Below are 26,460 nucleotides of genomic sequence, written 5' to 3'. Positions count from 1 at the left end.
CTTCTATTTTGGTTGTAACTGATTGTCAGGGGATGCTTCTTTCAAAATGTTTACTAGTTTCATGACTGAATAGGAGGTCAGTTAATTGCTTTGTGAGAGGGGGCAATACTTTTTGTCCATAGGCTTGGAGGACTTTTCTAAACTGGTCTAAGTTGACAACTTATGAGTCAACTATGTATCTCTTTATTAAGCAGGAGACCTCAAGCTAAAAATGGCCTCACATAACTCCTCTCAAATGGATTTTTCTGGAGGTTTTTAAGGGTCATTCCTATGTGTATGAAGACTATGGCTAAGAGAGGAACCTGGTCTCTGAGGTCCCCTGACATGGCTTAGCTCATGTCTTTTCAAAACATGATTAGATTTTTCTATTTTACCTGAGGATTGAGTACTCCAGGGGGAGTGAAGGTGATAGGTAATGCCTAAAGCTGAATGCAAGCTGCTGGGTCACTTTGGCTATGAAGGTAGGTCCATTGTCACTATGAAGGCTTTCAGGTCATCGAAACTTTGCAGTTGATCTTATTGAGTAAAAATGTGGGCGCTCATAAAGTGGGAAAAGCCTCAATTCACTTGGTGAAGTTGTCTATAAATACTGGTGAATATTTCCAGCCCCTGTATGGTTGTATCTGATAAAAATCTATTTACCAGCCAGGCATGGTGGCTCACGCCTGTAATCCCAGCACTTTGGGAGGCCAAGGCGGGTGGATCACGAGGTCAGGAGATTGAAACCATCCTGGCCAACATGCTAAAACCCCGTCTCTACTACAAATACAAAACTTGGCTGGGCCTGATGACACGCACTTGTAATACCAGCTATTTGGGAGGCTGAGGCAGGAGAATCACTTGAAACTGGGAGACAGAGGTTGCAGTGAGCCGAGATTGTGTCACTGCACTTCAGCCTAGCAACAGAGTGAGACTCTGTGTCAAAAGCAAACAAAAAAATTATATTTGCCAGTCTTCCCAGGGTATGTCCCTCAATGTTGTAAAGGTTTGGGTACAGGTAGGGGTATGGAGTAGTTTCCTGGATTGTTACAGCCACAGAGTTCACAGGCCCTGGTCATCCTTTTTATAGTGTAGAATAGTTTCTTTCCTTAAATGATTTGAGAAAATAACTTGTATATTGAGACCTGTCCCAAATGTGAGGAGTCATATAAAGGCTTAACTATCTTTCATTGCATTGCCCCAGGGAGAAAGAGTTTTGTTGCTTTCTAGTAACCATCCTGAGGGATTCTTTTATAACCCTTTTTGTCCTGTCCATTACATTTCTTCATGGGTACAGGGTGGTGTTCCGGACATGGGTGCAGTACCTGGCAGTAGCCAGTGGCCTGTAACAATGGTACCTCTTTAGATTTGCCCTTAGCTGTTTTCTCTCCCAGAGAATTTCCATTGATAATAGAAGGGTCTTCTTTTTAGTGCCTACTGCAGTGAATCACTCCCACCTTATTTAAGAGCTGGACAGCTAGTTATATGCAAATACTACACCATTTAATGCCAAGAAATGGAGAATCTGCAGATTTTGGTATCCATGGAAGTCCTGAACCAATCCCCCACTGATACTGAGGGAGGATTATGTATACTTCAATATCACACAGTTCACAATGGAAGTACAGCCTCCATTATCACTCAAAACCATCCTGTGTCTTTCTTTTACTGGAAGGTAGATAATTTCAACTTTGACATCTTAATACTACATCTAGAAAATTTTCTAAGTTTTCTTATTAATATATATGGTTTGTATATTCTTTGAAGTTGTCCATGTAGATAATCATGTCATCTACAGATGAGGACTGTTTTACTTCTTTCTTGTCAATTCTTATAAAATATTATTATTGTTATGAGTATTATTTATTGTATATTATACGTTAAAAATCTCCAGGACAAATGTTGAAGAGAAATGGTAATAGTGAGTCTTCTAGTCTTTCTTCTGATTTCGAAGGAAGTATTCTCAGATAAGGAACATTTTCTTTATTTGTACTTTAATGTCTTATTATAAATAGCTATTTGTTTTATTTGGTGTTTATTCTGTATTCATTGATGTAATTCTATTTTTTCCTACTTTAATATATTAGTATGATGCATTAAATTAATATATTTTCTTAAGTTGAGCCACTCTTTTGTCTTTGAAATAAATTTTGTGTAGATATGTAGTTATGATGTATAACCTTATATTTGTTTGCTCATTGATATATTTTGGCTCTGTTTTCACCCCAATCTCATGCTGAATTTTAATCCTCATGTTTTGGAGGGGGGCTTGGTTGGAGGTGACTGGATCATGGCGAGAGGTGACAAAGTGCTAGCAGCCCTCGCTTGCTCTCCTCACCTCCTCAGGCCACAGGGTGTCCACTCTGGCCACGCTTGAGGAGCCCCCTTCAGTCTGCCAGTGCACTGTGGGAGCCCATCTCTGGGATGGCCAAGGCTGGAGCTGGCTCCCTCTGCTTGCGGGGAGGTGTGGACGGAGAGGGGCCAGCGGGAACCAGGGCTGGGCATGGTGCTCACGGGCCAGCACGAGTTCTGGGTGGACGCAGGCTTGGCGGCCCCGCACTCGGAGCGGCCTAGTGGTGCCACCCGGCCCCAGGCAGTGAGGGGCTTGTACCTGGGCAAGCAGCTGCAGAAGAGGTGCCATGTCCTGCAGCACTGCTGGCCCCCTATGCTGCACTCGAATTCTCTCCAGGCCTCAGCCACCTCCCCATGGGGCAGGGCTCAGGACCTGCAGCCTGCCATGCTGGAACACCCCTGTGGTGGGCTCCCACCAGCCTGAGCCTCCTCGACGGGTGCCAGCCCTTGCTCCGTGGTGCCCGGTCCCATGGACCGCCCAAGGGCTGAGGACTGCAGATGTGTGGCGTGGCACTGGTGTGTAGCTCCACCCGTGACCCTGGCATGGGATCCATTAGGTGAAGCCAGCTGGGCTCCTGAGTCGGGTAGGGACTTGGAGAACTTTTATGTCTAGCTGGAGGATTGTGTATACACCAATCAGCACTCTATGTCTAGCTTGGGGTTCCTGGATACACCACTCTCTATCTAGCTAATCTGGTGAGGACTTGGAAAACTTTTACTTGTAGCTAAAGGATTGTAAATACACCAATCAGTGCTCTGTGTGTAGCTCAAGGATTGTAAATCCACCAATCAGCACTCTGTGCCTAGCTCAAGGTTTGTAAATGCACCAATCAGCACTCTGTGTCTAGCTAATCTAGTGGGGACTTGGAGAACTTTTACTTCTAGCTAGAGGATTGTAAATACACCAATCAGCACTGTGTGTCTAGCTCAGGGATTGTAAATGCACCAATCAGCACCCTGTCAAAACGGACCAATCAGATCTCTGTAAAATGGGCCAATCAGCAGGATGTGGGTGGAGTCAGATAAGGGAATAAAAGCTGGCTGCCCAAGCCAGCAGTGGCAACCCACTAGAGTCCACTTCCGGCAGTGGAAGCTTTGTTCTTTTGCTCTTTGCAGTAAATCTTGCTGCTGCTCACTCTTTGGGTCTGCACTGCCTTTATGAGCTGTTAACACTCACCACGAAGGTCTGCAGCTTCACTCCTGAGGCCAGCAAGACCACAAACCCACTGGGAGGAGTGAACAACTCCAGATGTTCCACTTTAAGAGCTGTAACACTCACTGTGAAGGTCTGCAACTTCACTCCTGAAGCCAGTGAGACCATGAACCCACCAGAAGGAAGAAACTCCGAACAATCTGAACATCAGAAGGAACAAACTCTGGACACACCATCTTTAAGAACTGTTAACACTCACTGCGAGGCTCCGTGGCTTCATTCCTCAAGTCAGTGAGACCAAGAACCCACCAATTTCGGACACAATGGGAGCAGACTTCTTTATGTTCTCATGATAGTAAGTAAGGTCTCATGAGATCGACTTTTTTGAAAATGTGTATCACTTCCCCCTTTACACTCTCTTTCCTGCCACCATCTGAAGACACACTTGCTTTCCCTTGGCCTTCTCGCATAATTGTGTGTTTTCTGAGGCCTCCTAGCTATGCCTCCTGCAAAGCTTGAGAAACTATGAGCCAGTTAAGTCTCCTTTCTTTATAAGTTACCCAGTCTCGGATATTTCTTTGCAGCTGTGTGAAAACAAATAATATACTTATATTTTGCTCATGTTTTCACATTGTTGTTTTAAAGTTAAATTAATCTTTTTTGGGCTTAATTCTTATGCTTTTTGTTTGAAAGTAGTAACGAAATTATTCATTTGAAAATTAATTAGGGTTTTGTGTTTTTCTTCTCTTTTTCACTTCTCTGAAACATTTCTTTCCTTGAATGTGTAGTAGAATGCAACTATAAAAGCCACTTATTCTAATACTTTTTTATAGGGATATTTTAAATGTGGATGCATTTTTTTCAAAATGATATAGCAAGTGAAGTTTTCTAGTTCTTCTTGTGTCAGTTTGGGTAACTGACTTTTTTGTAAAACTTTTCTGTTTCACTGAAGAATTAAAATTTATTTGCATAAAGATGTTCCTAATACTGCTGTATTTCTAAATTTCTGCTGCCTCGCTGAACATGCCCTCTCTTTATGTCTTGATATTATGTGTTCTTTCTTCCCCAATCAATCTGGTCAGAGATTTGTAAGCTTTGTAATCTTCTCAAAGTACTAATTCTATTTCTATTTGATTAACTTCTGCTCTTGGTTCATTATTTTCTAATTCATACTTGTTTCTTTTGGTGTACTTATTTCTTCTTTTCCTAATTCTTTGTAACAAATTATTCACATATTAGTGTCAGCTTTTCTTATTTCTTCATGAAATACAACATTTCAACCTTTTAATTTATCACTAACTTTCTTGTTAGCAGGATTCCAAAAGTACTGATACTTAATATTTTAAACTATTATTTATTTCTGAATTTCAAGTTTTGTGTTTTTTATGTGTAATTAAGAAGTCTGTCATATATTTCCAATTTACAAGGTTAAAAATATGTATATTTTTATACTTGTTTGTATTAGAATCAGATGTGTTCTTGATAATATAAGAATCTTTGAAATGTATTGAGACTTACCTTATGGCATAGTATGTCTGTAAATGTTTCTGAATTTTTAGAAGAATGTGCATTGCTAGATACTATAGCCTAAAACTGCCTATCAGATAAAGTTTTTGAATAGCTTCTTACATAGTTTAACCTCTGCTGAACCAATAATCTTGGAGTGTTGTACTAAAATGTTTCATGATAATTAATTTATTATAATTTCATTAATTTTTGCTGTCTATATTTTAGAAGTGTAGATTAAAACTGTATTATACTCCTAGTCTACTGAAAGTTTTGTTGTTATGTAGGTGGCAATAATTTTCCCTTTAGTATTAATTGTTGCTTTAAATCTGAAAATATGCATTGTTTACTAGGGGCATAGAATTTTCCCAGATATCCATTTACATAATTTATTTTCTGTTTCTTGCCTTGTGTTTGATGTATGTTTCATAAGCAGCACAGAGGTCCAGCTTTTAAAAAGAAATAATTTTAGATGAATTTATTTCTCATCTTCTGGCACACAAATGTCTAACAAATAAGTTCAGTGTGTTTGCTACTTCTTGCTCACTGGATCCAATCAGTATAATGTCATTAAGGTAATGGACTGGTGTAATAGCTTGATGAATTGTAAAGCATTCAAGGTCTCTCCAAATAAGAATATGGCACAATGCCAGAGGGTTAACATGCACCTGATGTAGGACAACAAAAGTATATTGTTGGCTTTGCCAGTTGAAGGCAGATTGTTTCTGGTGGGCTTTATGGGCAGGAATGGAGAAAAAGACAGTTGCCGAGTCAATGGCTGCATACCAGGTACTGGGAGATGTGTTAATTTGCTCAAGCAATGAAACCACAGCTGGTACACCAGCTTCAATTGAAATCACCACTTGGTTAAGCTTAGAATAATCCACTGTCATTCTCTAAGATTCATTTTTCTTCTGCACAGGACAAATGCGAGAGTCAAAAATGGGGATGTGGCAGAAATCACCACCCCTGTATCTTTCACATCCTTGATGGTGACACTGCATCTTTCACACCCCTCTGCATCTCTCCAGGGATGCAATATTGTTTTTCATTCACTATTCTTCTAGGTAGAGGCAGCTCTAATGGCTTCTGTTTGGCCTTTCTCACCACGATAGCTCTCACCCTAACTTTCAGGAAGGCAGTGTGTGGATTCTGACAGCTGTTTAGTATGTCTATGCAAATTATACATTCTGGCATTTGGCAAATGACCACAGGATAAGTTCAGGGACCAACTGGACCCACTGGAAGTCAGACCTGAGCTAAAATTCCTTTAATTCCCTGACATCCATAAGCCCCTACTTTAACTGGAGGATGACAATGACGTTTTGGGTCCCCTTGAATCAACGCAATCTCAGAAGCAGTATCCAGTAGTCCCAAAATGTCTCATCATTTTCCCTTCCCCAGTGCACAGTTACCTGGATAAAAGGCCAGAGGTCTCCTTGGGGAAGGATTAGAGAAAGATTAACAGCATAAACTTTCAGTATAGTAGTAGGGTCCTTCCTCAATGGAACCCAGACTCCCCTTTATTCAAAGTTTCTCAGTCTGAAAATGGGCTCCAGCCTGGACATTGATTGAGGGGCTGTGATTCTCTCTTTTTATAATTCCAATTAGTTTTTTTGCAGTATGCTTCCTATCAACTTTACTTATAGGAATACTGTGATTAATTAGCCAATACCAGAGCTCTAAGTGAGTGAGACTATTCTGTTTCTTGCTTTGCCTGCACCATCCATTACAGTAGCTATGTCCACCTTGCCTTTGATTGTTGAATGCCACTACTTGTTCCCTGCTAGTTTGGGGTCCAGTTATTCTCATCGTATTTGAATTTTGTAGTGGAGTAACTGTGGTTCCTGCCGTTAGATCTGACATACAGAGAAGAGCAATTATAGGGCTCTTCAAAGATACAGGTGCTGCCCTCACAAACCTATTTTGCTAAGAATTGGTCAAGGATATGTCTTCTGGACCCTCCCAGCTAAGATGAATGGGTCTAATATGATTAATCCACTCCACTATCTCAAGGTCTCTAAGCCTTTGTTTCCCTTTCTCTACATTAAACCAAACAGGCATTTCCAGCTCAGTCCCTGTGGGCCATCTTTTAATCCATATTTTAGCTAACCAAGCAAAGAAACTATTAGAACTTTTTTATCTTCCTGAGCTGCAACATTAAATGCAGATTCATTATTTATTGGGCCCAAATCAATAAATTCAGCGTGATCAAACTCAATGTTTTTTTCCGCCATTATTCTACACCCTTAATATTCATTCCTATGACTTTTCTCCTGATTTCTATTAATATAAATTAGAAAACTCTAGCAGTTCAAGTGTAATGCACCTCCTCATGGGTCACACTGTCAACCTCACCTTCAAGGGCCCACCAGGACTTCAGTCTAGTTATAGGTCTAGAAGCAAACAGGGGTGTTCAGGGTGCCTCTTCAGGAGAATCAGCATTATCTTGCCTGGAAACTGCCTCAAGGGACCCCATCACTGTTTCCTCAGGAAGTGCAGTGTTTATTGCTTCATGCAAAGGTGGAGATGCTGATGGCAACATGAGATGGGGAGGGGATGTTGCCATTGCTAGGGATGGGGAAGCTGTTTCTTCTGGCAAAAAAAGGTTCATCAGAGTTTATAAACTCAGTGTCCCCAGCTTCATCAGGGTCCTTCCTTATGCCCCCCTTGCAAGTTTCAGGGACCCATTATTTTCCAATCAATGCCTTTTCTTTAAAAGTAGACACCTGGTGAGGCTGTGCATGCACCTTTCCTTGCAGGTCAGCCACTCACAGGATAAGAGCTTGTGTCTGTTTTTCCACAATTTCATCTCTTTCTCTACAGGAGATAAGACTCTCACGCAGGGCGATTCTTTGCAGATTTGAGGCTCAATATCTGCTTCTGAAGCTGAGAGATAAAATCCCTGAGTCCACTATTTTATTTCATCACTTTCTCCACTGAATTTAGTTGCAACCAACCAGCTTCATTATTTTCCTTGATTCTCCACATATAGTCAAAGGTGTTATGTATAAAATCACTAAACTCCTTGTTTCTTGTGAGCAGTGCATCGGGAGTGCCAAATGCATTTATTTTTGCAGCCCACTGACTCAAATGTTAATCTCCTTTTGTAACACCCTCACAGACATACTCAGTATCAATACTTTGCATTATTTAATCCTATCAAGTTGACACTCAGTATTAACCATCACATTATATAGTTCATGTCATGAACTCTCAGTCTTCATACTACTAGAAGTAGAGTCCTTAGCATTTTGGGGTTTAATAGTATTAAGAATCCAATCCCAGAAACTCAAACCTAGAAGATAACTCCATCCTTAATATTCTTTTCCTCTAGAACCACTCGTATCACTGAAATCTGAATTAGGCTTCTCCAGATGAACAAAACTAATAGGATATATAAAGGGGAATTTATTAAGTATTAACTCATATGATCACAAGGTTTCACAATAGGCTGTTTGTAAGCTGAGGAGAAAGGAGAGCCAATCTGAGTCCCTAAACTGAAGAACTTGGAGTCCAACCTTCAAGGGCAAGAGGCATCCAGCACAGGAGAAAGATGTAGGCTGGGAGGCTAGACCAGACTTGTCTTTTCACATTTTTCTCTCTGCTTTATATTCTAGTTGCACTGGCAGCTGATTAGATGGTGCCCACCCAGATTAATGGTGTGTCTGCCTTTTGCAGCTCACAGACTCAAATGTTAATTTGCTTTGGCAGCACCCTTACAGACACATCCAGGATCAATATTTTGCATCCAACCAATACTCTTCAATCTAACCAAGTTGACACTCAGTATTAACCATTACAATGCCTGTACACTTTTGATACCTATTTGAATATGAGTGTCCTCTTTGGTTGTTTTAACTGTGCAAGGGAGCCTTGATCAGCACTTTTCTTTAACTAGGTTATTTACTTTTTTTTTTTTCCCTATATCAAGCCCATTAAAACAAAGGTCTTTAAGGCTTTATGATTTCTTCAAAGTCTTGTTTTTTTATTGTTTTTGTCCTTTGAAAGTTCTTTACACCTTCTTGTTTGTATGCATGGAAAAATATTTTTTCAATGTTTACTTCCAGGCATTTTAAAGTATTTTTAAAATGTTCCTTAGTGTCTGTGTTTATAAAGTGTAAGTCTCTAAAATAAAAATATAAAGGAAGAAAACTCTCTAAGTAGTCTTTTAAGTTATATCTCTTACATTCCCTAAATTATCAAACATTTTGAAAAAAATTGGAGTTAATCATTTCAAATTTCTCACTTTCTGCTGCTAAGAGAACTTATCCGTAGTAAGGCCATAATTTTCTTTTTTGTGAAGTGTGTTGCTTGGAAAGTAGATGCTTAGATAGAAATACACAATGCTACATTGATCACTTTGTGCTCGTAGGGTCAACACAGTAGAGAGGGCATAGAAGCAGTAGAGAGGGCATAGAGAAGGCATAGAGAGGGCATAGAAGCCAGAGGGCATGGAAAAAACATTGAGCTGCAATACAGTCTCAATATAAGCTTTATCCAACCCTATCAGGAGTTTGGAAAATGGAATGAATCTTCAGAGCGGTCTGCAGTGGAGGGCAAGAGAACTGGGACTTCGGACCCATTCTGTTACTCATTGTATGTAGACCTTCATGGGAATGGCGATGTGGCCTTGAATGAGTGGGTTTTCTGCAAACCTCAAAAGGGTTTTGTAGCTGAGTAATGTGGGCTGGCAGTCATGGCAATTAGAGTAATAACTCTTTTTTTTTTTCACTTAAAAGAGATAGGAGAGCTGCATTCTGATAGGTGACCACACATACTTAGAAATAAACCAAAATCAATCTCACTTCCAGCCCCTTCACTCTGGCTATGGCCATTCATGACTTTCATGTCTAGGAATCTAGAGTGGATTTTTATGTTTACATCATGTTTTTAAACAAGCATGCAGTTCTACTTACCTCTTTATCTATTTGAAAATCATTTTTATCTAGTGCTGTGGTATGGCTCTGTGTCTCCACCCAAATCTCATCTTAAATTGTAATCAAAATTGTAATCCTCATGGGTTGAAAGAGGAATCTCATGGGAGCTGATTGAACTGTGAGGTGATTCCCCCACGCTGTTCTCATAATAGTGAGTTCTCATGAGATGTGATAGTTTTGTGAGAGGCTTTAATTTCCTTCAGTCTGAATTTGTTTTATTCTTCTCTTTTCTTCTGCCATGTAAAATAGGATGCACTTGCTTCCTCTTCTACCCTGATTGCAAGTTTCCCGAGGCCTTATCAGCCCTGCAAAACTGTGAGTCAATTGAATCTTTTCTTTATAAATTACATAGCCTCAGGCAGTTCTTTCCTAGCAGTGTGAGAATGGACCAATGCATAAATTAGAACACTAAGAGTGAGATACCACTGTAAGGATACCTGAAAATTTGGAAGCAGCTTTGGCAGTAACAGGCAGAAGTTGAAACGTTTATAGGACTCAGAAAAAGAAAAAGAGAGTGGAAAAGTTAGAAACTTCCTATGACCTAAAAGGCTAAGAAGAAAGGAAGATGTGAGAAAGTTTGGATCTTCACAGAGACTTATTTAATGGCTGTGACCAAAATCCTGATAGTAATATGGACAATGACCTTAAGGTTGAGATGGTATCAGATGGAGAAAAGAAACTTGTAGGGAACTGGAGCAAAGGTGGCTTTGATGTGCTTTAGCAAAGACACTGGTGGCTTTTTGCCACCTGCCCAAGATATTTTTGGAACTTTGGGGTACCAGGCATGTTAGAAAGAAATTTTCAGTGCTGCAAAAGAAATAGCACTCAAACATAAATTTTCTCAGCAAGGCAAAGTTACTCCTGCAGGAGGGTGCATCTTGTTTATGCAGCAATGGCAAGAGCACCCAGAACAGAGGAAAGCAGGAGTTTTTATGATTTTTAATGCAGCTTGTCCCTGTTAGTGTATGTGCCTCCACTGGCTGCCGTTAGACCACACAATCTAAGCAGAATGCAGTTGGCTAACTTGAAGAGTGCAGGAATGCGGTTACACTGGTGGGAAGGCAGGAGGGTGATTTCTTGGTGGGCATGCCTGAGCACAGCAGGGCAGGAGGGGCTGACAGATTGGTGGGCAAGATTAGACAAAGAACAGGGAAGTAAGACTTCAGGACAGACAGCACAAGGAAGGAAAGACCTCTTGGAGAAGAACAGTTGTTTGTAGCAAAGTGAAACTCTTTGAAGAGGAATTGTCTAAACTACTTGTTTTTTATCAAGGCAGAATAAATTTCAAAGAGGCAGAACATTCAAAGGAAATCAAAGCATAAAATTATAAAAAATCTGCTGCCTGAGAATGGGGTAGAAGATAAAAACCCATATTTTAGGAAGAAATTGAAGCAGGTAGTACAAATCTACCTAAGTGAAGAGAAAACAGAGGTTAATCACCAAGACATGAAGAAAATGTCCCCAAAGTATGTCAGAAGTCTTTGCAGCAGCCCCTCCCATCACAGGCCCTGAGGCAAAGGAGGAAAAAAAATGGTTTTATGGGTGGGTCCAGGAGACTGTATCACAGCTGTTTCAGCCGTGAATAAGAGGGTCAAGGTATAGCTCAGGATGTTGCTTCAGGTGGTGCAAGCCCCCCACTTTGGCAGCTGCCATGTGGTGTTTTTACTGTGGGTTCAAGGAAGACAAGATTTGAGGTTTGGGAACCTCTGCCTAGATTTTAGAGCATGTATGGTAACACCTGGATGTCCAAGAATAAGTCTGCTGAAGGGCCAAAGACCTTATGAACCCATGCTAGGGCAGTGCCAAAGGAAAATATGGGGTTGGAACCTCTACACAGAGTTCCTACTGGAGCATTGCCAGGTGGAGCTTTGTGAAGAGGGACACTGTCCTCTAGGCACCAGAAGTGTAGATACATTGACAGCTTCCACTATGCACCTGGAAAAGCCTCAGACACTCAATGCCAGCCATAAAAGCCCCATAAAAGCTATGGGGAGCTATTCCATGCAAAGCTACAGGGGTACAGCCGCCAAAAGCTGTGGTTGCCCAAGTTTTCATCAATGTGGCCTGAATATGAGACAAGGAGTCCAAAATTTTTTTTGAAACTTTAAGATTTAATGACGGCTCTATTAGATTTTGGACTTGCACTGAGTCTGTAGCCCCTTTGTTTTGTACAATTTTCCACTTCAAATGGGTGCATTTAGTCAATGCCTATATCCCCGATATATCTAGAAAGTAACTCACTTGCTTTTGATGTTACAGGTTCATAATAAGAAGGAACTTACCTTGTTTCAGATGAGACTTTGAACTTGGACTTTTGGATAAATGTTGCAATGAGTTAAGACTTTGGGAGATTGTTAGAAAGGCATGATTATGTTTTTAAATGTGATAACATAGAATATGTGGAGGTTAGGAGAAAAAAAATATTGTTTGTATCCTTACCCAAATCTCATCTTACATTGTAATGTAAATTTTAATCTTCACATGTTGGAGGAGGAATTTGTGGGACATAATTGAATCATGATGGCACTTACCCCATGTTTTTCTTGTTACAGTCAGTGAGTTCTCATGAGATTTGATAGTTTTGTGATGGGCTTTCCCTTCTTCACTCTGCAGGGTCTCTCATTATTCTTCCTACTGCTGCCCTGTGGAGGAAAGATTTGCTTTTCCTTTTTCCATAATCATAAGTTTTTTGAGATCTTACCAGCCCTGCAAAACAGTGTGGCATTTATTTATTTATTTATTTAGTTATTTAGTTATTTAGTTATTTTTGTAAATTACCCAGTTTTGGACAGTGTTTTATAGAAGTGTGAGAATACATCTAGCTCCTTTGATACATCTTTCTCTTCAATTTCTGCCAACTGTGTGGCTATGCTTTCTTCATCTCCCTTTCTGGGTCATCCTTCTGCATATTAAATTCAGCCTCTGTGTCAGATTCTCGCCATTTCCTCTGCCATATGGTATGTTTAGAAAATCTTATTTATATTTCTGGTTAAAAAATAATTTTTCAGTCCGGGCGCGGTGGCTCACGCCTGTAATCCCAGCACTTTGGGAGGCCGAGGCGGGCAGATCACGAGGTCAGGAGATCGAGACCATCCCGGCTAAAACGGTGAAACCCCGTCTCTACTAAAAATACAAAAAATTAGCCGGGCGTAGTGGCGGGCGCCTGTAGTCCCAGCTACTTGGGAGGCTGAGGCAGGAGAATGGCGTGAACCCGGGAAGCGGAGCTTGCAGTGAGCCGAGATCCCGCCACTGCACTCCAGCCTGGGCGACAGAGCGAGACTCCGTCTCAAAAAAAAAAAAAATAATAATAATAATAATTTTTCAAAATTATAAATTTTTAACTAAAATCCCTATGTTGCCAAATTGTTTTTTAGAAAAATATATATTTACTACATCAATAGCAGTATGTGCATTATTTCTCACTATAAAAAAAATACTAACTTTACAATAAGGTACCCAGTATGGTATAATTTGAAGTTTAGTAATTTTATTAAAAATATTAGGTTACTTCCATTGAGATTTTACTCCATGTTTCTCACTTTTGACCTCATCCTATAGTTAGTTTCCTTTATGATCACAAACACCTGCTATGCATATTATCTGAAAACAGTAAAGACTTAGTGGCAGATAAGGACCTTACCCTATGTGTCTTTTTTCAATGAGAAAGAAGAACTTTTCCTAAGCCCTTCCTCCCTTGTGGTTCATTGAGCTAAATTTAGGCACACTTTTATGTCAATGATATCTTTGTGACCAATGTTGAACTCCTTAAATTTCTCTAAACCCATTGGGCCTGATGATGGGTCCAGCTGACTCTGAACCATATAGCTGTTGGAAGAAGGCTATTTATCTTAAAAACGTTTTCAGGAATAAGAGAGGCATTAGGTAGGCAACCAACAGGGTCAATGACACTTCTTGTCTTTATGAAAACTCCATGTTTTCACTAATCATTGTAGAGTACCACATATGGCCATATCAATAACTACATTTGTATAGTTAATAAGCTTGAGCTAAGATTAGGAGCACATGTATTGTGGTTAGTAATCAGTGCTTTCTTTGGTGCAGCAATCTGGTTTGGTTGTTATATAAATTAAATGTGATAATGCATATATAACATTTAGAAGTATATCTGGCATATTTTAAGTGCTCCAAAAAGTTTTCTATTTTATTACATCTAATTTTACCCAGAGTATGCTCTCAGTTTACACTAATGTCTAAAGAAGAAGTTAAAAACTCATACAATACAAATATGTTATTGAATAGCATTTAAAAGAAAAAGGGAAAAAAAACTGGATTCTGCACATCGTGCTCTCTGACTACAAACAAAACTGGTGGTTAACCTCATTGGAAAAATGACTCCATAAGTGATGCCTGTAATAGTCCAACAGGTTAAAATGAAGCACACCATCACAAAGATCACCAAAAACAAGAAAACACATGCAACTTAAAGTGAGAGTCAAAAGACAAAATAGATAATATATTTATTGTTTTACATCTGAAGAATGGTCTTAGCCAACATACAACTATAGAAACAGCATGTGTTGATGCAGGGAAAGTGACAGAAACCAATGAGTTGAGCCTAAGTTTAGATTAATGTATACATAAAGAATTAATATGACAGAGATGGCAGAACATTAGTGTAGGAAAAAGGATTAACAAATCAAGCACTGCAAGTTTGTTATCCCTATAAAAATGCAAAAACATGTCTAGCTTATATCCATCATATTCAAATGTCAACCCCAAATAGATTAAAAATTTAAGTGTTAAAAGTAATCACATATTTTTAGAAGAAAAATTAGGAAATAATTATAGAATAACATTATAAACTCAGAATGAAAAAGTGTCTTCTAATGAAACACAAAGAATCCTAATGCAAAGAAAATAGTTTATAATATTGAATAGACTAAAAAAATTGTTTATAAAAAACATATGAATGAAATTCAAGTAGAAGTTACAACTGTGGTAAAGTATGTTTGCAGTGTATAAAATCAATGATGGAGTATATAAATATTTCCTGAATAATTAATCACAGCAAACTGAATTCAAAATTGTTCAAAATATATGAACAGGCATTTAACCTAAGAGAAATATGGATGGCCAGTAAACTCATGGAGTTGCTCAACCTCACTAGTAATAAAGAAAATAAAAAGCAATCTCATTTGTAATTTTGGGGGTTTGAAGTGCAGTTTTTTACATGAATATATTGTATAGTAATGAATTTGTGTATGTTGACCCAATGGGTAATTTTTCAGTCCTCACCCATCTCACCCTCACACCATTTGAAGTCTGTAAGGTGTCTCCTTCCACTCTTTATGGCCATGTATACCTATTATTTAGCTTCCACTTGTAAGTGAGAAGATGTGGTATTTGATTTTCTGTTTCTCAATTATTCTGCTTAGGATAATAGCTCCCAGTTCCAGCCATGTTGCTTCACAATACATGATTTTATTCTTTTATATGGTTGAAAGGTATTGCATGGTATAAATATGTGCCATATTTACTTTTTCTGTCATCCATTGATGGACACTTAGGTTGATTATGTAGCTTATCTACTATAAATAATGCTGTGATCAACAAGCAAGTGAAGGTATCTTTTTGATATAATGACCTGTTATTTTTTAATTAGGTACCTAGTAATGAAATTGTCATTATATAGTAGATGTACTTTTAGTTATTTGAAAATCTTCATGCAACACTTCATACAGTTTGATCTAATTTACTTACCCATCTACAGTGTATAAACTTTCCTTTTTCTCTGTGTTATCACCAACATCTGTTGATTTTTGACTTCTTAATCTTACCCACTCTGACTTGTGCAGTATCATATCTCACTGTAGTTGTCAGTTACATTACTCTCAAGATTAATGATTTAAACACTTTCTGTTAGCTGGGCACCTGTATGATTTCCTTGGAGAAATATCTGTTCACATTATTTGCCCACATTTTTAAGGGGTTATTTTTTATTTCTTGTTAAATTGTTTGAATTATTTTAAGATTCTAAATATCAGCCAATTGTCAGATACATAGTTTGCGAATTGTTTTTCTACTTTGTAGATTGTTTACTCTGCTAATTATATATATACATATATATTCAGCAATCACATATGTATAATTAAAGCAAATGTGCTCACCATATATAATAACAGAAAAAAGAGAAATATATATATGTTTATATATATGTTTATATATGTTTATATACATATATGTTTATATATGTATATATATAGGTTTTTACTTTGACTACATCTCATTTGCCTACATTTTTTCATTGTTAGTTTGCTTTTGAAAACTTAGTTATAAACATTTTACCCAGGCCATTGTCCAGTAGAGAGTTCCTGCATTTTTCTCTTTCTCCTGGGATTTTTATAATTTCAGATTTTAAGTTTAAGTTTTTAATTCATCATGAGGTAATGTTTTCAAATGATGAAACTTATAGTTTTGGTTTTATTTTTATGCACAAGCTTATTTCCTAGCACCGTTTATTGAAAAGGGTATTATTTCTTCAGTCTAGCTTGTTACCAACTTTTTCAAACATCAGTTGATTGTAGTAATGTGCCTTATTTCTGGGATCTCTATTTCATTTTACTGATTTCTGTGTCTGTTTTTATGCCAGTACTATGCTCTTGTTGTTACTATAACCTTGTAATATAGTTTGAGCAGATAAAGTGATTCCTCTTGATTTGTTCATTTAGGGAAGTGCTCAGTCCTTGGAGCACTTATTACCAGCTAACTGAAGAGATTTCTGGCCCTAAATAACTAGCAGTGATACCCAGGTACTACATCAAGGTTCTTGGGTGGGCCTCTAAGAATTATAGGCTGCAGGTGAGAGTCCTGTGGTGACTGTCAGGCAAAACTCCTTCCTCTTGAAAAAAGTAGAGGGAAAATAAAGCAGACTTCTTCTTATACCTTAGGTACAGCACAGATATAATGTCTAGCCAGGGGGGTGCTTGTGTCACCACAGCTTTAGATGATTCTGCACAGGGACAGACTCCATTTGTTTGGAATAAAGAAAACAGAATATATGTCTTGGCCTGGTAATCTAGATAACTCAATAAGAATTTGCTCTTATTGTAACTACACAAGTTAGCAAAAACCATGTCATCTTTGGGCTAGGGATAAAGCATAGACAAAAACATCTAAGTTTTTTTTTAACATATGAAAAGACTTCTGTAAGAGTCCATTCTCACACAACTACAGAGAATTACCCAAGGCCAGGTACATTATGAAGAGAGAAAAAGGTTTAATTTATTCACAGTTTTACAGGCCGTAAGTGTGACTGGGGAACTCTCAGGAAACTTTTAATCAGGGGAGAAGGAAAATAGAGAAGCGAGAATCTTCTTCACGTAGGGAAATGAGAGAGAGCAGAAGGAAAAGTGCAACACACAACCAGATCTCATGAGAACTCAATATCATGAGAAAAACAAGCAGAAATGTTTCCCATGATCAAACTACCTATCATCTTGTTATTCCTCCAACATCTGAGATTACAATTTGACATGAGATTTGGGTGAGAACAGAGAGTCAAATACCACCTCTGGCTCCTCCCAAATTCCATGCATTTTTTCACATTGCAAAACCAATCATGTTTTCTCAACAGTCCCCTAAAGTTTTAACTTCTTCCAGCATTATCTCAAAAGTCTGAGTCCAGAGTTTCATGTGAGGCAAGGAAAGTCCCTTCTGCCTATGTGCTGGTAAAATAAAAAACAAGTTAGTTACTTCTAAGTTATAAAAGGGCATACAGACATTGAGTAAATGCTTCTGTTCCAAAAAAGAGAAGTTGTCCAAAACAATGGGGCTAGAGGTCCCCTGCAAGTCCAAAACACAGCCGGGAAGTTATTACATTTTAAACCTTCAAAATAACATTGTTTGACTCCATGTCTCACATCCAGGCTACACCGAAGAAAAGGGTGGGCTTCCAAGGTGTTGGGCAGTTCTTCCCCTGTGGTTCTGTAAGATATATCCCTCTTGGCTGCTTTTACATGCTGGCATTTAGTGCCTACATCTATTCCAGGTACAAGGTGCAAGCTGTTAATGGACCTATCATTCTGGCATCTGAAGGGCAGTGGCCCTGTACTTACAGCTCCACTAGGCAGTGTTACTGTGGGGTCTCTGTGTTGGGACTTCAACCCTACATTTTTTCTCTTCACTGCATCAGAAGTTTTCCATGAGGGTTCCACCCTGCAGCACACTTCTGCCTAAACCACCAGGTATTTTCATACATACTATGAAATCTAGACAGAAGCCCCCAAGCTCAACTCTTGCCTTTGCACATTCAGAGCCCTAACACAACATGGAAGTCACCAAAGTTTGGGGTTTGCACCCTCTGAAGAAATGACCCAAGCTGAGCTTTGGCCACTTTTAGCCACAGCTGGAGCTGGAGTGGCTGAGACACAGGTACCATGTCCCAAGTTTGCACAGAGCAGTAGAGTCCTGAGCTTGGCCCATAGAACCATGTTTTTCTAGGCCTGCAGGCCTGTGCTAGGGAGGCAGCAGGGGGCAGGGCACGGGAAGTGGGTGGAATGGGAGGTGGGGGAGGGGCTGTTGCAAAGGTCTCTGAAATATCCTGAGGCATTTTTGTTGATTATTAACATTCAGCTTTTCTTTACTTACGTAAATTACTATGGCTTTGAATTTCTTTCTAGAAAACGACGTTTTCTTTTCTACCACAGGTTCAAGCCTGCAAATATTTCAAACTATTATTTTCTGTTTGCCTTTTAAACATAAGTTTTAATATCTGACCTTCCCTTTGCAAACTCATGTGAGTGAGGCTTTTAGAAGCAGGCAGGCTAATTCTTGACAGCATTGCCCCTTAGAAATTTCTTTCTCCAGATAACTTAAATCATCTCTCTTAACTTTGAAGTTTCTCAGATCTCTGAGAGAGCAGGTGCACCATGCCGACAGTCTCCTCACCAAAGCATAGCAAGTTTTTATTTACTCTTTATTTCAGTTTCCAATAAGTTTTTCATCTTCATCTGAGATCACCTTACCCTGGACTTCCTTGTTTATATTACTATCAACACTTTGGTCACAACAATTCAACAAGTCTCTAGGAAGTTTCAAACTTTCCCTCATCTTTCTATTTTTTTCTGAGCACTCCAAAGTGTTCCAGCCTCTGCCTGTTACTGAATTCCAAAGTAACTTCTACATTTTCAGGTCTCTTTATGGCAACACCCCACTTCTCTGGTAACAATTTCCCCTATTAGTTTGTTGTTACACTGCTATAAAAAGCTATCTGATATTCAAGATAGATTAAAGACTTAAACGTTAGACCTAAAACCATAAAAACCCTAGAATAAAACCTAGGCATTACCATTTAGGACATAGGCATGGGCAAAGACTTCATGTCTAAAACACCAAAAGCAATGGCAGGAAAAGCCACAATTGACAAATGGGATCTAATTAAACTAAAGAGCTTCTGCACAGCAAAAGAATTAATTTTTGTGTAAGGCATAAGGAAGGGATCCAGTTTCAGCTTTCTACATATGGCTAGCCAGTTTTTGCAGCACCATTTGTTAAATAGGGAATCATTTCCCCATTTCTTGTTTTTGTCAGGTTTGTCAAAGATCAGATGGTTGTAGATGTGTGGTATTTTTTTTCTGAGGGCTCTGTTCTTTTCCATTGGTGTATATCTCTGTTTTGGTAACAGTACCATGCTGTTTTGATTACTGAAGACTTATAGTATAGTTTGAAGTCAGGTAGTGTGATGCCTCCAGCTTGTTCTTTTGGCTTAGGATTGTCATGGCAATGCGGGCTCTTTTTTGGTTCCATATGAACTTTAATGTAGTTTTTTTTCCAGTTCTGTGAAGAAAGTCATTGATGGGGATGGCATTGACGGGGATGGCATTGAATCTATAAATTACCTTGGGCAGTGTGGCCATTTTCATGTTATTGATCCTACCTATCCATGAGCATGGAATATTCTTCCTTTTTTGTGTCCTCTTATTTTGTTGAGCAGTGGTTTGTAATTCTCCTTGAAGAGGTCATTCCCATCCCTTGTAAGTTGGGTTCCTAGGTATTTTGTTTTCTTTGAAGTAATTGTGAATGGGAGTTCACTCATGATTTGGCTCTCTGTTTGTCTGTTATTGGTGTATAGGAATGCTTGTAATTTTTGCACATTGATTTTGTATCCTGAGACTTTGCTGAAGTTGCTTACCAGCTTAAGGAGATTTTGGGCTGAGACGATGGGGTTTTCTAAATATACAATCATGTCATCTGCAAACAGGGACAATTTAACTTCCTCTTTTCCTAAATGAATACCCTTTATGTCTTTCTCCTGCCTGATTGCCCTGGCCAGAACTTCCAAAACTCTGTTGAATAGGAGTGGTGAGAGAGGGCATCCTGTCTTGTGCCAGTTTTCAAAGGAATGCTTCCAGTTTTTGCCCATTCAGTATGATATTGGCTGTGGGTTGGTCATAAATAGCTCTTATTATTTTGAGATATGTCCCATCACTACCTAATTTATTGAGAGGTTTTAGCATGAAAGGCTGTTGAATTTTGTCGAATGCCTTTTCTGCGTCTATTGAGATAATAATGTGGTTTTTGTCTTTGGTTCTGTTTATATGATGGATTATGTTTATTGATTTGTGTACATTGAACCAGCCTTCCATCAAGAGATGAAGCCCACTTAATCATGATGGATAAGCTTTTTGATGTGCTACTGGATTCAGTTTGCCAGCATTTTATTGAGGAATTTTGCAACGATATTCATCAGGGATATTGATCTAAAATTCTCTTTTTTTGTTGTGTCTCTGCCTGGCTTTGGTATCAGGATGATGCTGCCCTCATAAAATGAGTTAGGGAGGATTCCCTCTTTTTCTATTCATTGAAGGAATGGTACCAGCCCCTCTTTGTACCTCCGGGAGAATTTGGCTGTGAATCCATCTGGTCCTGGACTTTTTTTGGTTGGTAGGCTCTTAATTATTGCCTCAATTTCAGAGCCTATTATTAGTCTATTCAGGGATTCAACTTCTTCCTGGTTTAGTCTTGGGAGGGTGTATGTGTCCCAGTATTTTTTTGAGAAGTACCCTACAAGCATAGGAAGCCAAAGCATAAATGAACAAATTGGATCACACCAAGTTAAACAGCATTTTGGCAAAGGAAACAATCAACAAACTGAAGAGATAATCTACATAATGGGTGAAAATAATTGGAAACTGCCTATCTGACAAGAAATTTATAACTGGAATATATACAAATCTCAAACAACTCTACAGGAAATACATCTAATAATTTGATCAGAATGGGCAAAAGATTTAAATAGGCATTTCTCAGAAAAAGCTATACAAATGGCTAGATATGAAAATGTGCTCAGCATCATTGATCATCAGAGAAATGCATATTAAAACTGCCATGAGTTATCATATTACCCCAGTTAAAACGTCATATCCAAAAAACAGGCAATAACAAATGATGGTGAGAATATATGGAAAAGAGAATCCTTGTACACTGTTGCTGAGAATGTAAATTAATATAACCACTATTTAAAACAGTTTGGAACTTCTTCACAAAACTAAAAACAGCGATACCATATGATCCAGCAATTCCATTGCTTAGTATACACCCAAAAGAAAGAAAATCAGTATATAAAAGAAATATCTGCACTTTCATGTTTGTTGCAGTACTGTTCATAATAACTAAGATTTGGAGGCAATGTAAGTGCCCAGTCACAGATGAATAAATAAGGAAAATGTGGTACATGTACACATTTGAGTTGTATCTAGCTATCAAAAACAATGAGATACTCTTGTGATTTGCAAGAATATAGGTGAAACTGGAGCTTAATATGTCAGGTGAAATAAGCTAGGCACTGAAAGACAAACAGTGTATGTTATCACTCACTTCTGGGATCTAAAAATCAAAACAATTGAATTCATGGACATAGAGGTAGGAGAATGCTTCCTAGAGGGCTGGAAATTTTGTGTGGGGTTGGAGGGAGGTGGGCATTATTAATGGGTACCAAAAATTGTTAGAAAGAATGAATAAGACCTACTATTCAATAACACAACATGGTGACTCTAGTCAATTATAATTTAATTGTGCATTTTAAAATAACACAAAGAGTGTAACTGCATTGTTTGTAATTAAAGGGATAAATGCTTGAGTGGATGGACACCCCAATCTCCATGATGTGATTGTTATTTTGCATGCATCTTTTTTAAAGAATCTTATGTACTCTACAATAATATACACCTACCAGGGGCCCACAAATACCAAAATAAAACAAAACAAATATAACCTAGAACCTTTAATAATAAAGTATGTTTTATCTAATATAAGGACAGCTACTCCTACTTTTGTTTTCTGTTTGCATAATATTCTTTTTCTATGTCTTAAATTTTAGTCTGTGAATAACTTTACATTTTTGTTAGTTTCTTGTAAGTAGCCTATAGTTGGACCTTGTTTACTTTCAAGATAAATATTAACATGTGGGAATTTGTTGCTGTCATACTGTTATTTGTTACCTGTTCACTTTGTAGTCTCATTGGTGTAATTGTTTTGTAATATTTTGAGTTATATACCTTTGTGTATTTCTGTGATGATATCATCCTTTTGTTTCCATTTGTAAAATTTTGAGCTTTTCCTTTTTGAACCAGTATAGCGGTGATAAATTTTGCTTAGTGCTTGCTTTTCCGAGGAATATTACACATTTTTCTTTCCTTTATAAAACTAGGTTTGGCAGCAAACAAAATACTTAGCTACAGTTTTGTTTTTTTTTTTAATTGAGAAAATGGAAAAAAGAGGACCACAATCAGTTCTGGCTTCTTTAGCTCTTTCTGAGAAATTTGCTGTTAATCTGACATGATTTTCTTTATAATTAGATAGGTTATTCTCTCTTGCTTTTAGGATTTTTTTCTCTTGTGCTCGTTTTGCACTCTCTCATGAGATATGCCTTCATAGGTTTATTTTGTGAAGTGTCTTCCAGGTTCTCTTTGGGCTTCTTGAAACTGGATGTCTAATTCTCTGAGAAGATCAGTGTAGTTTTACTTAATTTTTCATATAGATTTTTAAAGCTTGTTACAATTTTCTTCTACCCCAGGAAACCTATGGGTCTGAAAACCTATAGGTTTGGTTGATTTACATAATTTTATATTTCTCAAAATAATTGTTCCTATGTTTTCTTTAGTTGCTTCTTTATATCTGACTATGTTAATTTGAAAGTCCTATATTCGGGCTTTAAATTTTCAAAATTCTGCTTTGTCTAATTCATTATTAAGGATTTTAACACTAGTAATTTCTTCAATGAGGTTTTTTATTTCAATAAATTATCTTTTCTTCAGTATCTATCCATTTGGTAAATGTATTCATATTCTGAATTGTTTCACATTCTTTGTGTTTGTATTAAACTTTCTCTTGGATCTCATTGGACTTAAAATTTGTATCTTGAATTCTTTATCTGTCATTTTAGAATTTCTATTTTGGTTAAAATTTATTGCCAGAGAGCAAGTTTGATTTTGGGAGTTATCAAAACAGCATTTTTGATCATACTTGCAGGGTCTATACAGTGATGCCTTCTCAATTGGACAAAGTGTCACTTTGTATTTTTGAATTTACTTTCACTCAAATTGAACTTCCCCTCTTTAGGGAGTGACTGTAATGTATGTTGTATTTGTCACTTGACCTTGATTCTGGGTCTTTTCAATGAGCCAAGTCTCTGTAGGTTTTCATTAGTTACATAGCATTTCTGTGCACTGATGTTCTGAAATGGTGATTGTAGGAGTAACACACTGGGGACTTGATCAACCTTAGTATCTTCTGTGAAACTGGGACTGTGGAAGTGTCAAAAAGTTTATCCCATCCTGCAGCACTATGCCCTTATGTTTGTCTATGTGCTTTATTATTTGGTTGCGCAGTTTAAACTACAGTTTCCAGGTGGCACTTATGGGTAAGAGGTGATTTACCATCAGGTACCCCACTGATGAGTGAAAGTATTTGCCCTGATTGGAGTAGAAGAGACAGATTGTAGCAAAATGGGCCAAGGCCTTTGCAAGGGGAGAGTAGAAGAGATGTGCTCCATACACTGGCCAGGCAGAAACAAAATCCATGTTCCTTTCACACTCTATCTGAGGGGTCATTATTTTCAGCCCAGATAAAGACTGTTTATTATCTCCAAGCCACCCATGATACATGCTTGTCTTACTACCACCAAAGTGGCTTCAAGGTAAATCCTTTTTCCTCTGCCAACAATAGCTCTTTGGCTCATCTATTCTCTGCTGCAGGAATGCTCTTACTCCTTGTGGGGGGATGGGTTCTACCTTTTCTGCAACCCCCAAGGAGAAACAGTCATGCTGCAGTCATGCTGCATCCACAGTAATGGGAGTGAAGTAGGATATGCCCTTCTCTCCATGTCCATTGCTAGGTGCTATTGCTCCCTGTTCAATGGAATGGAACCACACTAATCCAATGCAGATCTGAGCACAGTATCTGTATTTCTTTGGATGGTTACAATCACCTTTTTCTCACAAGCAGAGTGCTCTAAGGCAGAGAAGAGCATGCAATCTTGTTTCCACTGAACTGAGGAATGCTTTGGCATGCTTTACTCTTCCTTTCCCTAGAGGTGGCTGGCCCTGAGGGCTAGGCCTCCAGGAATTCTGCATCTTTCCAGGGTCCTGCCATATTTTTGTGACTGTTGCATCCTAAGTGCATTTGGGGAAGGTTTGTTGGGGGCCTAGATATGTGGAGACACAATAGCTGGAACTCCCTGGGTAAAATAGAGTCCCAAATTGGGTGCACAACCAGTATGATACATGCTTTCTCAACTCAGATCTGGGAGGATGAAAAGAGAACCTGTGCAAGTTGTTTACCTGGTACTCTGCCTTCAGTAAGTCCCCTGCCAATTGCAGTGACTCTCACCTATAATCTGAGCACTTTGGGAGGCTGGGATGGGCAAATTGCTTGAGCCCACAGGTTCTAGCCCAGCTTGGGCAACATATTCAAATGCTGTTTCCATAAAACATACAAAAAAATTAAAGTAGCTGAGCCTGGTGGCGTATGCCTGTAGTTCTAGCAACTTGGGAGGCTGAGATGGGAGGATCACTTGAGCCTGGGAGGTGGAGGCTGCAGTGAGCCTAAACATAAAATAAAATATAAAATAAAATAAGCTCCCAAATTGCTACCTACATTTCATAATCACAGGCTTATGAGAGCACAGGGGCTATCTGACAGTTCAGCAGTCAAAAGACTCCTATAGCAACCAGGGAAGCAAAACAATGCATCCCCACGTACTCTTTTCATGGTATTTCAAGTTCCTTTGGAGTCAATCTCTGCTAAACATTTTCTTTCACTCTTTTCTGTGCTCTAGTTCCTTCCCATGGGTTCTATGACAGGTGTTTGCACTCTTTCCTCAGTATTCTACTCATGCTATAATTATTTACCAGTAACTTTGGTTCTTCCTGTATTCCAATTTGAATACCCTATATTTCTTTCTCTTGCCTGATTGCCCTGTCCAGAACTTCCAACACTATGTTGAATAGGACTGGTGAGAGAGGGCATCCTTGTCTTGTGCCAGTTTTCAAAGAGATTGCTTCCAGTTTTTGCCCATTCCATATGATATTGGCTGTGGGTTAGTCATAAATACTCATTATTTTGACATATGTTCCATCAAGACCTAGTTCACTGAGAGTTTTTAGCATGAAGCGGTGTTGAATTTTATCAAAGGTCGTTTCTGTGTCTATTGAGAAAATCATGTGGTTTTTGTCATTGTTTCTGTTTACGTGATGGATTAAGTCCATATTTGAACCAGCTTTGCATCCCAGGCATGAAGCCAACAGGATTATGGTGGATAAGCCTTTTGATGTGCTGCTGGATTAGATTTATCCGTGTTTTATTGGGGATTTTTGCATTGATGCTTATCAGGTATATTGGCCTGAAATTCTCTTTTTTGGTTGTGCCTCTGCCAGGTTTTGGTATCAGGATGATGCTGGCCTCATAAAATGAGTTAGGGAGAAATCCCTCTTTTTCCATTGTTTGGAATAGTTTCAGAAGGAATGGTACCAGCTCCTTTTTGTACCCCTGGTAGAATTCAGCTGTGAATCTGTCTGGTCCTGTACTTTTTTTGGTTGGTAGTCTATTAAGTACTGCCTCAATTTCAGAACTTGTTATTGGTCTATTGAAGGATTTGACTTCTTCCTGGTTTAGACTTGGGAGGGTGTGTGTGTCCAGGAATTATTGTGGATTTTCAGGTTTTTTTGTGTAGAGGTGTTGATAGTATTCTTTGATGGTAGTATGCACTTCTGTGGGACCAGGTGATCTCCTTTATTGTTTTTATTGTGTCTATTTGATTCTTCTCTCTTTTCTTCTTTATTAGTCTGTCTAGCAGTCTATGTATTTTGTTGATCTTTTCAAAAAACCAGCTCCTGGCTTCACTAATTTTTTGAAGGATTGTTTTGTGTCTCTGTCTCCTTCAGTTCTGCTCTGATCTTAGTTATTTCTGGTCTTCTGCTAGCTGTTGAATTTGCTTGCTCTTGTTTCTCTAGTTCTTTTAATTGTGATGTTAGGATGTCAATTTTAGATCTTTCATGCTTTCTCTTGTTTGCA

At 38.5% G+C, this 26,460-nt stretch overlaps 1 long non-coding RNA gene across 1 annotated transcript in view; it reads left to right on the top strand.

Moving 5' to 3' along the window:
- Positions 1 to 3,389: 3,389 nt before the first annotated feature.
- LOC107987347 (uncharacterized) overlaps positions 3,390 to 26,460 on the top strand; it is a 54,946-nt gene continuing 31,875 nt past the window's right edge. Inside the window, exons 1-2 of the long non-coding RNA XR_001756079.2 lie at positions 3,390 to 3,839; positions 10,180 to 10,245. This is a non-coding gene — a long non-coding RNA (uncharacterized LOC107987347). The remainder of the gene's footprint in view (positions 3,840 to 10,179; positions 10,246 to 26,460) is intronic.

The sequence above is a fragment of the Homo sapiens genome, chromosome Y (assembly GCF_000001405.40).
Source record: "Homo sapiens chromosome Y, GRCh38.p14 Primary Assembly".
NCBI lineage: Eukaryota > Metazoa > Chordata > Mammalia > Primates > Hominidae > Homo > Homo sapiens.
This window is presented reverse-complemented; position numbering and strand designations above follow the sequence as displayed.